Source organism: Homo sapiens, chromosome 6, assembly GCF_000001405.40.
Source record: "Homo sapiens chromosome 6, GRCh38.p14 Primary Assembly".
Classification (NCBI taxonomy): domain Eukaryota; kingdom Metazoa; phylum Chordata; class Mammalia; order Primates; family Hominidae; genus Homo; species Homo sapiens.
The window spans coordinates 147,222,949-147,238,077 of NC_000006.12; the positions used below are offsets into that span (position 1 = coordinate 147,222,949).

Here is a 15,129-nt window from a genome sequence, read left to right on the forward strand (position 1 = left end):
ATGGGTTTCTGCTTTCAGCAAGTTGTGATTCTCTGTATCCACCTGTCTGTCTTTCCAGTTTGGGGGCAGTGGTTTTTCTTGTGTCTCACTTCTCTTACAGATCTTTAAGAAGAGTTGTTGATTTTCCAGTTTGTTCAGCTTTTTACTTCTTGTTAAGATAAAATGATTTCCATGCTCCTTACACACTACACTGGAAAAGAGAAGTTGATATTAACTTTTATTGGTGAAAACATAGGTGGTCTTCAAAAAGAGGTTTTAAAACTGACGTTTATCAAGTAGGTGCAACTATGGAATGGGGTACTCTAAAACTGTAATTAATCAGTTGGCAAAGGCTTTGGATTGCAAGCACATTCATAGCCCATAATATACAAAATGAAGTGCTCTTCATTATGTTCATCTTTGGTAAAGACTTACTAAACTGTTGTTTTGAGCATATTTCTATTAAGTCAGTCAGAAGCTAATTTAGATGAGAGTAGAAAATTATTAAACATTTGGAAAATAAGACCTGGGAGGAGATAGGGAATTCATGATTATTCAATTAGAAAAAAAGGAAATCAGAGAAGTTATTTAATAGATTATATGTATATAAATAGATTATTTAGGGAAGGTAATGCTTAATTATACTTATGTCCACAAGGTTTCCCAGTGTTTCTCAACTATGGCTATACATTAGAATAATTTGTGGAGCTGAAAAAACCAAAATGTACAAACAATGCCCAAACATGCTTGGATTTCTTCTTTAGAGCTTCTGATTCAGTGAGTATGGCAAGGGGCATGACATCTGTAATTTTTTGTTTTTTAAATCTTTGTGGATGCTTGTGATATAGAGCCAAAATTGAGAAATACTGGTTTAAGTGTTTGACAGGCTGGGTAGCAGTATTCTTAGGCAGATGGTAGAAAAGAAACATGTTAATTACTGTATATAGAGAGGATGTCGTTTTAAAGCAGTCATAACATCTTGAGATCTGTGGTGTAACCATGAGGAAATACACTGCCTTTTTGTTCTGCCACTGCCTTTGGAGACAGGGCTGTGAAACTGTTACGTGAAATATTTGGAAAGGAACTGGAGTTCCAGGTCTTGAGTTATGGTGTTTTTCCTTCCTAGCAGTTTATCACTGGTCAAGAGAACGAGCAATATAAAAGACCTTGAAGTCTAATTATGGTTGAAAAGTCTATTCTTAAACATGCAGGGCTTGGCCAGGTGCGATGGCACATGCCTGTAATCTCAGCACTTTGGGAGGCCAAGGCAGGCGGATCATTTGAGGCCAGGAGTTCAAGACCAGCCTGGCCAATATGGTGAAACCCTGTCTCTACTAAAAATAAAGAAATTTGCCGGGCATGGTGGTGCATGCCTGTAATCCCAGCTACTGGGAGGCTGAGGCACTAGAATCACTTTCACAGCCGGGAGGCAGAGGTCGTAGGGAACTGTGATTGCACCACTGAACTCCAGCCTGGGAGACAGACTGAGACTGTGTCTCCAGATAAATAAAATAAAATAAACCGAACTAAACTAAACTAAATTAAAATAAAATTTAAAAATTAAGTTGCAGGTGATCCTCACACTGATCAGGTTAAGAATGCAAATGACGTTTCACAGATGAGAAAACTACAGCACAGTTAGATTGTTTTAGTTATTACAGATCATTTAATGTATTTTCATTTTTTCCTGGTAACCTGCTACTTACAGAAAGTTTATTTTTTTATCATTAGTAGGATAAATGTATCATGTACTGCTGCTTTTATTTATTGACTTTCATTTATCCCCCATAACAGTGTGGATGAAGAAATCAAAGGTTTCTGATGATGCTCAATTTTTTTAAATTGTTTTTATGTTCACACAAAATAAAGGACAGTATTGGTCCTAATCTAAAGCTCATCCTCTTTTCACAAATGCTTCCATCAATATTCTTTGATCCCATTACAGTGGTATTTAGATTTTAACTTTGTTATTGAAAAATAATCACATTATGGTTAAATCTCTTCAAGACTTAGGCCATTAAAAGTAAAAATCATCTACTGACTTTTTATTCAGAGTAGTAAGGCAATTCAGAGTAGCAACATTTTGAAGGCATATCAAAATACTTAAAAAGGTTTAAATTACCCTGTTTGCTGAAAGTAAAAGAATGTACTGAAAGAAATGGTAAGAGAGGTTAACCTTCAGTGTTTCTGATGAATTAAAATTGTGCTCTTGGGTTTACCTTTTTTACTGTGGTAAGAAGGAACAGTTTTCCCTTAAATTTTTTCTTGGTTTAGTAGGAGAATATCTACTCAAAGAAATTTACTTTCACAGAATATTATATAATTAAACATATACTATTATAGGATAACTTATTGTCATTTCTAAATGTAGTTCATAGAAAATATCATGATCCTTATTCTTATCTTTAAACTTTGCAAGATATAAATGTATTTCCAGAAACCTCACCGGATATCACAGTTCTCCAGTTGCTTTCTATTTTATGTGTACTCTAGTCTTCCATTCCTAGGTTGGAAATTGAATATGTCCCTTCTGTAGAGATTAGAATAATATCATTACTTTTCTTTGCCTTGTTCCTCATTGAAAATAATTGAAGAACAGATTCTCTGAAAAGATATATAATCTTACAAAATATTAACAATTTATAATGAATATACCAGTTTTGATACTGTCTCATTCTTCATATAAAAGTAGAGGTTGTCAGAATATGTGTGTCAGACATTTTCATAATACACAGTGGTAGTGACGGTAGTGAAAACTTGCCCAGGAGCGATACTCTCAGACTTTATCACTGACTGCGGGCCCATGGCCTGTTTATTTTACTATTTTTTGTTTCTACTTTGCTGACAGTACAAATCCCACAGGGAAAAATAAGCAATAAGAGGAAATATTGTTGTGATTGTAATAACAACCTACAAAAGTCATTGAAGATAAAATGAATGGGCTGGAAATGTAATTTATGGGATTTTAAGGGCTATAATGGATCCTAGAGAAAATCGAGTCCAATTTCCTGATAGTGACAGGATTAGAACGTTTTTCCACTGTTGTATACTTTTTATTGGTTTTCCGAAAAGTGAACTAATCTTACCTAAGAAGATATGACTGGAGCGGACATGGTGGCTCATGCATGTAATCTCAGCATTTTGGGAGGCTTGACTCCAGAAGTTCAAGACCAGCCAAGGAAACATAGCGAGACCTTGGCTCTACCAAAACAAACAAACAAACAAAAAAGCCAGGGGTAGTGGCAAGTGCCTGTAGTCCCAGCTGCTCTGGAGGCTGAGACAGGAGGATCCCTTGAGCCCAGAAGGTTGAGGCTGCAGTGAGCCATGATTGTGCCTCTGCACTCTACCCTGGGTGACAGTGATACCCTTACAAAAAAAAAAAAAAAGATATTACTGGACATAAAACATGTTTCTTAGGTTTTAAGAAAACTCATTCATTCATTGAGTGTCTGCTATGTGTCATACGGTTTTCCAGCCTTTGGGAGTAAAAAGAGCAGATTACCACGTTCCTATTACCTGAGACTGTTTGAAGGCCTTCCACACTCTAGGATGGAAGTATAGCATAGGCTGTCAAACATAGTTGTGTAATTCAGCCAAAGATGGTCCCAACTGAAGGAAAAGGAAGTAGGTACAGAATTCAGTATGACTGTATAATAAGCAAGGAGGGAAAGCAAAGAATGGCATGAACATATAAGAATAGCATAAGACATGCTAAAATTTCAAATGAACTGATGTTTGTGAGAATAATTGAAAAGGTTTTTTTCCAAGTAATATTGTTACCTATGAAATTCTTATCTACTTGGAGTAACTGAAGACCTAACTGTTATATTGCTTTTATAATTCTGTTGCTAAACTTTTGAGATTTGTACCCTCAGTGCCTATTAAAGTTCTCAAATAAGAAAAATTGATGAGTTAAGCAAACATGGTTAAGGAATATCATTCTATAGCTTTGTATCTTTACCTCCTAGGAGCTACTAAATGAGCGAACATGGAGGGTAATTAGGATCATTAGTACAAGAAGCTCTGATTTGTTTCCCCTTAATGTGCCCATTTTTCTTGCCACACAAGTCTGTGTAGTAGTGAATGACAGCAGGTAGGGTTAGAAAGAAACCAGTGGTTATGGGGAAGAGAGAGAGACTAAGTAAGTGGTTTAAAATTCCAGAATGTGAGGGATGAAAACAAGGCTCTCCTGTTGTGTGGATCTAGAGAGAGATCTTGATTCAGGGTTTCTAGTATTAATGGTATAAGTCAGTTAGAGGGATACAGTAACATAATGAAATAAACCCACTAATTCTATGTCTGATTCTGTACTGCTACTTTTCTCCACTTTAGAAACACTCTAAAGGTAACCACCTTTCCAAAGGCATATACATGGTGTAAAGATTAAGTAGTATAGTGTAGTGGGGGCTGTGATGAAAAGAACATGCCCTACCTTGCCCATGCCTACCCCTGCTCCCCAGAAGGATCCATTTAACTGTTTCTGGTCATGTTGCTAACTCTAAATAAAATCTCTTGCCAATGTTTTTTGATTCCTCAACTTTGGAAATTATCAGTTGATTTCCTGCCTTGATAAATGAGCATTTGCCTCATATCTCCCCTCCCCTGTAGTCTTGTCCCTATTTTTACTTTGTTTCCTTGTTACCTTTGTAAATTTCAATAAGTATCTTATAGTTAATTCTGTATTTCTTGCTCTGTCAATTATGCATACTAGCTCTTGGCTCCCCACTTTGTAAATGAGAAAGTTAACCCATCACTTTTCCATGTTTGTTTCCTTTTTCTTCCTCCTTTCCTTTGCGAACTGTAGTCACGTGTAATTAATATAAACTTTTAGTTTGATTCTAAAAGTTGAAAATGGGTGAACAGTACGTATTATACCTTTTTTTCTTTTCCTGTGATGACTTTTTTATTTCAAAGTCAAGTGATATCTTTTGAGTACATTTCCTTTCTTGTACAGCTGCTTTTCTTCCTTCTCCCCCACTTCCCTTATGCATTGGCTGCTGTCATCTCATGCTTAAATGCCTCAGGCTTCTCAAGGATGGAGTCACATCTCTGGAGCCCTCTTGTTCTCATGAACCTGCCTCCAGTGAATACCTCCTTGTTCTTCTCTAAGCTGGGCCAGTGTTGTTTATGTCAACTGTACTGTTTTCCTCCTGGGCTTTTTCATCTTTTTTCTGAGTTGAATTCAGTGTTTATTAGATTCCCTGTCATTGCCTTGTTTTGTGTGTGTGTGTGCATGTGTGTGTCTATGTGTGGTTTACTCTTTCACTTTATTGGAGCATAGTCTTAAATGACTTACAAAAAGAATGATAAGATTTTTGAGGCCCATGAATATCTAAAAGTCTTTGTTCTATAATTAGATCTTGTCAGGGGTTTGCTTGAATATCTTTATAACTCTGGGGACATTACTTCACTGTTTCCTAGCAACTAGCAATTTGATCATTTCTTTGCAAGTGGTCGCTTGTTTGTTTTTTTTTGTTTCTTTTTACCTGGAAGTCTGTAGGAAGCCTTAAGGAACATTTTAGAGTGGTGTATTTAGGTGGGGACTAATTTCGTTTATCATTCTGTGTACTTCCATCTAAGGACCCATGTTCATTAGAAGCTGCGTAAAATCTATTTTCTTCTATTATTTCTTTGATACTTTCTCTTCTTCTTTTCCTTTGTTTTCTCTTGTTGGATGTTACATGTTCTAAAATGATCCTTTATATTGCTTACTTTTTCTTTTATATTTTCTAGTCCTTTATTTTTTGGCTTTACTTTTTTAAAGGGATCTTGGAATGAAATGACAGCATACATGTATGTTCAGTTTGGTATCTTGGACCAAAGACTTCTTTTCACTACTTTTCAGTCATTATAATATCCAAAATTGGGATTTCCTGAGCAATTTTCATCAACATATTTTAGGAATTAATGTAGATTTTAAATTATTAGTGAGAAATACAAATGATTTTAATTTACAAGGGAAAGATATTTTTCTTGGGACTTTTACTTACATGTATTTCTAAGACCATACTATTCTTTACATGATCAACATTCTTATTTGTTTACAAGAATATTGAATTTTCTTTGTTGTTTCTCATCTGTTAAATACGTCTTGTTTTTAAATCGTGGATGAAATAAATTTAAAAAGTCAAATGCAGGACAGAAGGAAGTAAGTAGCTCACTTGCAAAAATGCTAAACCTTTGTCTTGTTTTTTTCTCCTCCTGTGCTGCATTTCATTTAAGTTGCTAAATAGGTTAAATTCATTCACTGCTTATGAAAAATATTTAAATGTTTCAGACAAAAACATATTTAAGAATATCGTATGTTTTAATTTGTTTTCGTGAATAATTCTAGTGTTTGCTTGCCTTAAATTCATTGCCTTTTTTTTATTACCTATTCATATATGGTGTTAGTATTTATCATTCATACAAGCTAATTCTTTTTTTTTAACAGCTTTAGTGAGATATGCTTACATATAATGATATGTAAGTACCAGCTTGTCAATTTCTATAAACAGCTGGGATTCTGATAGAGATTGTTTAGGTTCTTTATATCAGTTTGGTGATTACTGCCATCTTAATAATATTGTCTTTGTTCCATGGATATAGGATATTTTTTCATTTATTTAGGGTTTCTTTCAGCAGTACTTTGTAGTTTTTAATGTTACAGGTCTTGCATTTCTTCGGATAAATTTATTTTTAAATATTCTATTCCTTATGATGTTATTGTAAGTGGAATTATTTTCTTAATTTCATTTATAGATCATTCATTGCCAGGGTATGATTTTTATGTATATTGGTCTTGTATTATGCAACCTTGCTGAACTTTTTTATTCATTCCAGTTTTTTTTAGTGGATTTCTTAGAATTTTCTATATATGAGATTATGTCACCTATGAATAAAGATAGTTCTACTTTTTTTCTTTCTATTCTGAACACTTTTTTTTTCTTGCACATTTCCATGGCTAGAACATTAGATTCCATGTTGAGTAGATGAGTGGTGAGAATGGACATGCTGTCTTTTTCCCCATCTTAGTGGGAAAGCATTCAGTCCTTCACCACTGGGAAGGATGTTAGCTGTGAGTTTTTCATAGATGCCCTTTGTCATGTTGAGGAAATTCCCTTCTATTTCTGGTTTTATTGAGTTGAGAGTTTAATGATAAAAGGGTGTTGATTTTTGTCAGATTTTTTTCTACACCCGTTGAGATATGTGGTTGTGCTCTGTATTCTAACGTCGTGTATGCCATTGATCCCGTATACTTTTTAAAGATGATTGTTTATTTATTTCTATTTCTTATTTAATTTTGCCAAGTATTGGTCCTCTCAGTAGCTGTAGGCTTTAAAATGTTTTTTAGCTGATCATTTTATACGTGGAGATATTCGTAAGGAGGTTTTCTCAAAATTACAACTAGAATTAGAATACAGAATTCTAGCTTTTTGCTTATCTTGCTGGGCCATATTGCTTCATTATTAAAATTAATTTTTAAACATGGTACCCTAAGCTAACATGAAAAATGACTGTAGTATATTATTATTTAAATTAGCATATTGTTTACTATCTAATTGGTGTATGATGTTCATTTACTACAAGTTACATTTGGTCTAGTTTTATAGAATTAGACCAATCTGGGTTTATTAAGTACCCAGTTGTGAAACGTTGATTATAAATATATGTTCCTTTTCCAGTTTTAAGATGATTTATAATAAAGCAGGAAATAACATTTACATGTGAAAATTGGCTCAATATATTTTGCTGTGTGTGTGTGTGTGTATGTGTGTGTTTGCTTGCATGTATGCTATAAGGGTTGGTAATTTATACTGTGGGTTCTGGAATTACACTGCCTTGGTTCAAATCTCAGCTTCTTTACTAACTAGGTGAGTGGCCTTGGGCAAGTTACTTAAACTTTGCGCCTGAGTTTCCTTATTTGTAAAAACAGAGCTTATCGTAGAGAACTATTGTGAGATAATACATATGTAGTAGTATTGTAATTGACACAACTTAAGTGTTCAGTAAATCTCAGCTTCCGTGATGATGCTGGTGATGATGATGGTGATGATGATGGTGATGTACTTAAAGGCCTCCCAATTCTTCATTTATTCCTCCCTTCTCAACCAATCAACCAGAAAAAGCCATTTAGGCAGTTAGAGTGACGCTTGTTTTGAATTTGATATACACTACTGTAAAAAAAAATAAATAGATAAGGTTTTACTGGCTCTGGCATTTGTTTCTGTTCATGTGTCCTGTATACCTCTTCCTGCTTATTCATTAACTGCTAGTTTTATCATGTTTTTTTTTCCTGTGATTATTTCTTTTTTTCCTATTGCTTACATAGAGGGTCATGTCTAAATTACACAGCCTTGTGTTCAAAGACTGTGCTCCTGATCTGTTTTAACTTTGTCACATACATCTTCTCTTCATAAATACGCCAGTGATAATGGTGCTTGTCTGGACATGGACCATGAGTCTAGCTGTGCAGAAATTATCTGACATGTATCATGGGTCAGATAAATTAACTGATTTGCTTTAAAAACAAGAATTACTAGTGGGATTAGGTAGATATCATAGCTGTTAGTCAAGCAATAGAAAAATCGAGAGCAGAAATGTATCTGAGATAGGAATATTGTATTATCTTCAAAAGAATACATTGAAGTTTAGAGTTACAAGCTAAGATACAGTGACAGAAAAATATATTTACCTTTCCCTTATAATTGATGCATACATATATAAAAACAAATATTAGAATAGTAAGTGAATATTTCCTCACTTAATAAATTTGCAAGAATGTTCAGTGTATAATCTTTTGGTTTTTCTTCATTTTAGTTTCAGACGTTTAATTTTTTTCATTTAATTGTGAACATAGCCACAGTAAGTGGAAATCACTTACTAAGCAGATCTTCATTATAGTGTTTGACTATTTCTTAATAAAAATGTTAACTCAGAAATGTCAGTATTAGGAAGAATCATGTGTGCAAGGAATAATAATTATAGATGTGAAAAGATATGAATGTTTTGTGATAAATTCAATGTTGACATTTTCTTGTATTATAATGGTATGTCCACTGTCAGGGAACATTTAGTTCTAGCCAACATAGTGAATAATACATTGTCTTAAATAATAATGGATACCATTTGGTAAGTACACTCTATGTAGTTTAATCCTCACTGCAGTTCTGCAAGCTAGTCTAGATAGGTCTTATATGCATTTTATAGATTAGAGAGTTAAGACCTGTAGTAATTCTCTCCAGATCACAGCATCTAATGGCAGAGCTGGCATATGAACTAACTTGAAAATAGAGGTCTTCAAGTCTCATTGTGCCTCAGATGGTTCCTGTGGCACAAATAAGTAAATAAGTAATAAATAAATGAACAAATAAACAAACAACCTACCCAGGCATCTCCTCTGGAAATTTGGGTGTAGCAAGTTTGCAGTGGGGCCAGAATTCTGATAAACTACCAGGATAGGGAACTACTTGCTCTGAAATTTGTGTCCTTTCTATGTTAGTATCTCAAGATTATATGTAGGCATTATCAATTCTTTAAAACTTAATTTTAAATTTTTTGTTATGGAGTAATAACTTACGAGTTTTTCTTCTACTGCATAGGGCAGTTTTGGTGGTAGGACCCCTTGGGGCTAGCTGCAGCTGTATAATAATACTGCCTTATTTACAGGAAAAGGGAATGAAATAAGTAACTTTGAGAAAAAATCATTTCTCTGAGCCTTAGATATATCGCCTGTAAAACATGAATAATAACTACCTTTCAGAATTACTGTGATGATTAGGTGCAATTATGTATTTAAGGCACAGTGCCTAACCATTTAGTAGCTACTCAGTAAGTGGTTCTTATTGTTTATTAAGAAATTATTTTTATCATGTTAGCTAGAAGTTAAGGAACTATGTTATATCAATTTAAAAGTACATTTTTTTGTTTAGAGTAGTGTCATACATAGCCCAAGAGTAAAACGTCTCTTGACCTCTGTGTAACTGACTCCCTGAATTTATAGACATTTTTCATTCTCTTTGGAGAAAACATTGATTGACGCCCATGGCAATTTGAAGTTTCAACACCAGTAAACTACTTCTTAGAAGGCTCAAATTAGTAGACCTGTTGCTTATTCTTTACTTACCAAGAATCAGTTTTTCTGTATTCCCAATCTGTTTATGTCTATTGTATTAGATATTCTTATCAGGTAGATCACCTTAATATTCTATAAAATGATGAAGTACAAATGCCAAAAGAGACATTTTTAAACAAACATCTAAGATGAATGCGTTTGAAAGACTTCATGAAGGTCAGTCACTTAAAATTTCCCTCCTGATTTGGTGTGCATACCTATAAATGACTGGAAAAGAAATAGACTGTATATGAATGCTGCACTCGTATTGGTTGACATTATCTTTAAAGTTCCTTTTAAGAAGTTAAACTGGAAATCTTATACCTGGATAGTCATAGCTATGTTTTACTCAAGAAAAACAACTCTGATTTTTAGTTAATAGATTCATACTTAAAGAAAATGTCTTTGCCTAATATCAAAAGATTAGCAATATTATGTATGTTTTGTGATAATATTACAGTAAGTATAATTTTTATGATTTTCTACAGTAACTCACTTAAAAAAATCAACTTATTCATTGATTCCGATCTGGTCTCAGAAGAGAGGTTTGACATTCATGTAAAATGGGAATTATAAAATATGCTGATTGGTGCCAGAAAGAATAATTTAGCTGAAGCGATTAGAATTAGACTCACTATACTGGGTAGAAGGGCAGTTTCTTTTTCTGAAAAAATAAATGGGTGAACGGAGATACAGACTTTTCTTTTTTTGGCCTATCACGGTGTGATTTGCACATTGCCAATACTATTAATTTGAATTCTAGTTTCCTGCAGTTGTATTTGAGCAACTGGTATAGCAAAAATACTACTCCTACTACTACTACTACTATTACTATTATGACTACTACTACTACTACTATTACTACTACTACTATTACTACTAACAATAATTCTAGGTGTTTAAAGAGTAGGATACTATGAGCTAAACATACTCAACCTGTTAATTTATAAAATATATAATTAATTGCTAGTAATAAATGGAAAAAACTCTTGAAAATGAATACCATCTAGAAAATTTCTAGAAAGCCAAAGGAAGAAATCATAGCCAATAAGAATTAAACCTATGGCACAATTTTTTCATTAAGAACTTTGTGGCATGTATTAATAGAATATAGAAACAGACCATACCTGAATGTGAATTTATATACTGGCAACTATAATTTTATTAAATCCCACCAAATTTTATTTTTACATTTTGCTTTTTACTTTAGGGTAATAGTTAATAACTGGCAAAATGAGATTAGTTTAGCAGCCAGTTAAAATGACTACCTTCTTGTTTCAAGTTTATGAAGGTAAAATGCATATAACAGTGCCTGGCACATAGTGAGTTCTACAAATGTACAGTTTTTTTTTCTGTTCTGTTTTGATGTTTTTACTCAGCATACTTTATTAATTTAGAGTGTAGACTCTGGAGCCAGAAAGCTTATTTATATTCTATTTTCGCTACTTCTAGTTATGTGACTTGGGGCAGGTTACTTAATTTCTTTGTACTTCAGTTTCCTTATCTGTTTAAGTGGGGGAAAATAACATTCTTCGTGAGTTATGAGGATTAAATGAGTTGATATAAATAACATTTTCATAATAATGCCTAATGTGGAAAATGTTATATAAATATTTGCTGTTATTATTGTATGCCAATTCATTTTAATCAGTATCCATGCCTGTAGTAAAAGATTGACACGTTCATTTGGTGAAACAAAATCATGTTTCAATTAGAAACATAGTTATGTGGTTCTTCATTATATTTTTAGCGTTACTTAAAAATTACACTGCAGAAATGAAAAATGACAGTAAAATCATTACTATTCCTAAAAGCAACATTCCAAAATGACATTTGCCTACTTTTCAGATTTGTTTGCTGACTTCAGCAAAATTGGATGTTCTATAGATCCAACCACCTTTTGTCTTCTTTTTGTTATTTTAAGATGAAGAAAATAATTTGGGCCAGCATAAAATGTATTACCTATATATTATCTTGTTTTAATATGTTGCTGATGTTAATAATTCATTTTCTTCTAATTTGCTTGTTTTGTTTAAACCTGTAATCTCTGAGACTTCTCAACAGAAACTATTAGATTGATGTGTAACAAACCTAACTCTAAATCTCAACTTCAGTAAATGGCCTGTATTGAATATGAGGTCATTGGAATATTTATCAGCCTATTATATAACTTACCAGTTTCTCAAAACCGAACAAATACCATAAACTCCTTAATGGAATTAATTACAGCTTTGGTCGTCCAGGAGTAGAATGTTATTGCCAGCATGACAGTGGAGCTGCAGTAATCCAGCTCCAGTTCCTGATTAATGAGGTTAGTGAATTGTTTTAATCATTTCTACTTATATCCAAAATAGGGCCACTTCTAGTCTTTCAGATTTCTTACATGCATTCACAATTTATTTACATATTTGAACAAAAATTAATTTATAATGGATCAGAAATAGTAGTAATTCGTTTTAAGGTACCGTCATGGACAGTTACATAAATAATGTAAAATGTTTTCTCAAGACAGTGTTGTAAATTGAAAGGCCTAAGGTAAATGTTTTTGGTAAAAGGTGCTGCATTTAAATTCCAGGGATATTGAATACTGTGTAACATAGAACTCTATATTAAAATATTTTTTAAAAGATTGAGCTTATTACAAATCAAAGAGTGTGCTTCTTTAATGAATTGCTTTGAAATACAACCAAGAAACCAGCATTCATTCATTAGAAAGTAGTTTCTGCCCAGAGTTCTTAAATAACACCCAAATGTGTCACTTAATTGCTTTAAGTAATTGATGTTGCCTTTCCTTTTGAAAGTATAGAAGGAGCTAGAGAAAACAGCATTTTATCGGCATAGGAAACACTGTTTTTGCATATTTTAAGAGCATACGAGCAGCTCAGACAATAGATGTTAACTGCAAGTATTGATAGAGAGGGAAAGCTAGTCGTAGAAGGAAGAAAGAGAAATTGCTTCAGAAAAGGCTCTGATCTCCTTAGATATGAGGATAGATTGTGGACATTATTTTAGTCCCTAAACCCTTAGGCTCCGTGGAATAATTTCTTAAATGTATGTGAGAGAAAATAAATTCCTGAATACCTCTGGCTTTTGATAAATGTTATATTCATACCAGAGGATTTAAGAAAGGCATCATGGGTGTAAAAAGATAATTATGACAATGTAAAAACCTCCATAAAACTATAATCCAAATAATTTGCAGTTGTCTAGATTTTTCAAGGTCAGAGGATGTGTTTTTAAAAACTTCAGTATCCTGTATAGAACTGTATATTAGGCATTTTAAGATGTTAAATTTTTTTTAATTAAAATGTAGAAAGTTGTCGAAGCCATATATGAAGACTCAGATTATTTTTCCTCCTTTAAATAATGTTTTATTATGGAATCATTATACTCATGGTTAAGTTTAAAAATAGTTTCAGAGAGAGTCTGTGTACCCTTCTTTTAGCTTCTCCCAATAGTTACATTTTATATAACAATAGTATGATAGCAAACCAGGAAAATGACATCAAAACAATACTATTAACTAGACTATAGACCTTTATTTAGATTCTCTAGTTCATATATGGACTCATTTGTGTGTGCATGTAGTTCAGTTTTATCACATGTACAGATGCATGTAAGGACTACCACATCAAGATACAGGTCAGTTCCCTCAGCACTAAGGGAAAATAAAGAAGTGCCTTCAGCACTAAGGGAATCCCTTTGTAATTGAACTCCTGCTCACCCTCAGTCCCTGGCAACTATTAACCTGTTCTGTCTTTTTTTTTTTTTTTTTTGAGATGGAGTCTTACTCCGTCACCCAGGCTGGCATGCAATGGCGTGGTCTTGACTCACTGCAACCTCCGCCTCCCGGGTTCAAATGATTCTTCCACTTCAACCTCCTGAGTAGCTGGGACGACAGGTGCTTGCCACCACACCGGCCAGTTTTTGTATTTTTAGTAGAGACAGGGTTTCACTGTGTTGGCCAGGCTGGTCTCTAACTCCTGACCTCGTGATCTGCCTGCCTCAGTCTCCCAAAGTGTTGGGATTGTAGGTGTGAGCCACCACGCCTGACCTGTTCTTCATTTTTATACTTGTGTTAAGATTATTTTTTAAATCAACATTTGAGCCAATGTTAATAAAATGCGGTAAATCATTTACTGTAACCTAAATTTTAGAAATCTTAAATTTATGCTATTTTTATTCATATTAAGTATTCTTTTTCTCTTCAATAAGATTGATCATAGACTTCTTTGGAAGGGCCATTTTTTTTGACCTGTTAAATTATAAATACATTATAAATACATAAAGATAGGGTTTTTTTTGTTTTAAAAAGTGGAAATCTGACAATTAGGTGCACCTATTTGCTTTCAGATTTGGAAAACTATATACTGTATAGGTGAAGGAGCCACCATAAGAAGAAGACAGCTATTATTGCTATTTTGGCTCTATGTCTTCTCTTCTTCCTTGAGATTTTAAGATGTGGTAAACATTAAGAAAGAAGATGACATCGCCTGATATTTGATGGAAATAAGAAATAGCAGTACAAATCTTTGACACCCTAAATCCTTTGAGTTTCTCTACTTCAAAGTGATGTAGATAAAACGATGCTTTTAGTGAAATGGAGAGAGTGTGGACTTTATGTATTTCTGCTTTCCAGTTGTCATGTCCTGGCAACAGAAGTTACACACTAGGGTAGCCCTCATAGAATTTTGAAGGTGGAAAGGAGTTGGAGAGATAATTTAATATAAATCTTGTCCTGACAGCTGTTTTAATTCTTCTGAGTAGATGAGAAACTCTTATTTTGAAAGGGGGAGACTTTACAATTTCTTACAATACCCTAAAAGATTGGTCTTGCAAATCTTTTTTGAAATTAATGTAAATTCTGCATGTTACATCTCTTGTCTTATTCTTTCAGTATTGATGATAGATTTCTGAGTCCTTTGAGGAAAAACATTCAGATGTCTTAATAAATCAGCTCTAGTCTAGACAGTCTTAATTTTATTCACAATTATCACATTGCATTCACAATTTAAATCAGAATCATCTCAAAGGTTTTTCAAAATATACTTCCATAG

General features: G+C 33.5%; 1 protein-coding gene across 14 annotated transcripts in view; it reads left to right on the forward strand.

Annotated features, from left to right (window-relative positions):
• Positions 1-15,129, forward strand: part of STXBP5 (syntaxin binding protein 5) — a 186,057-nt gene that overhangs the window by 18,532 nt on the left and 152,396 nt on the right. For all 14 annotated transcript variants that reach the window (XR_007059202.1, XR_007059201.1, XR_007059203.1 and 11 more), the window contains exon 3: positions 12,302-12,383. Coding sequence is in view for 11 of the 14 variants with exons in the window: in XM_047418197.1 (XP_047274153.1) it covers positions 12,302-12,383 (82 nt within the window). In the remaining 3 variants the exon portion in view is untranslated. The remainder of the gene's footprint in view (positions 1-12,301; positions 12,384-15,129) is intronic.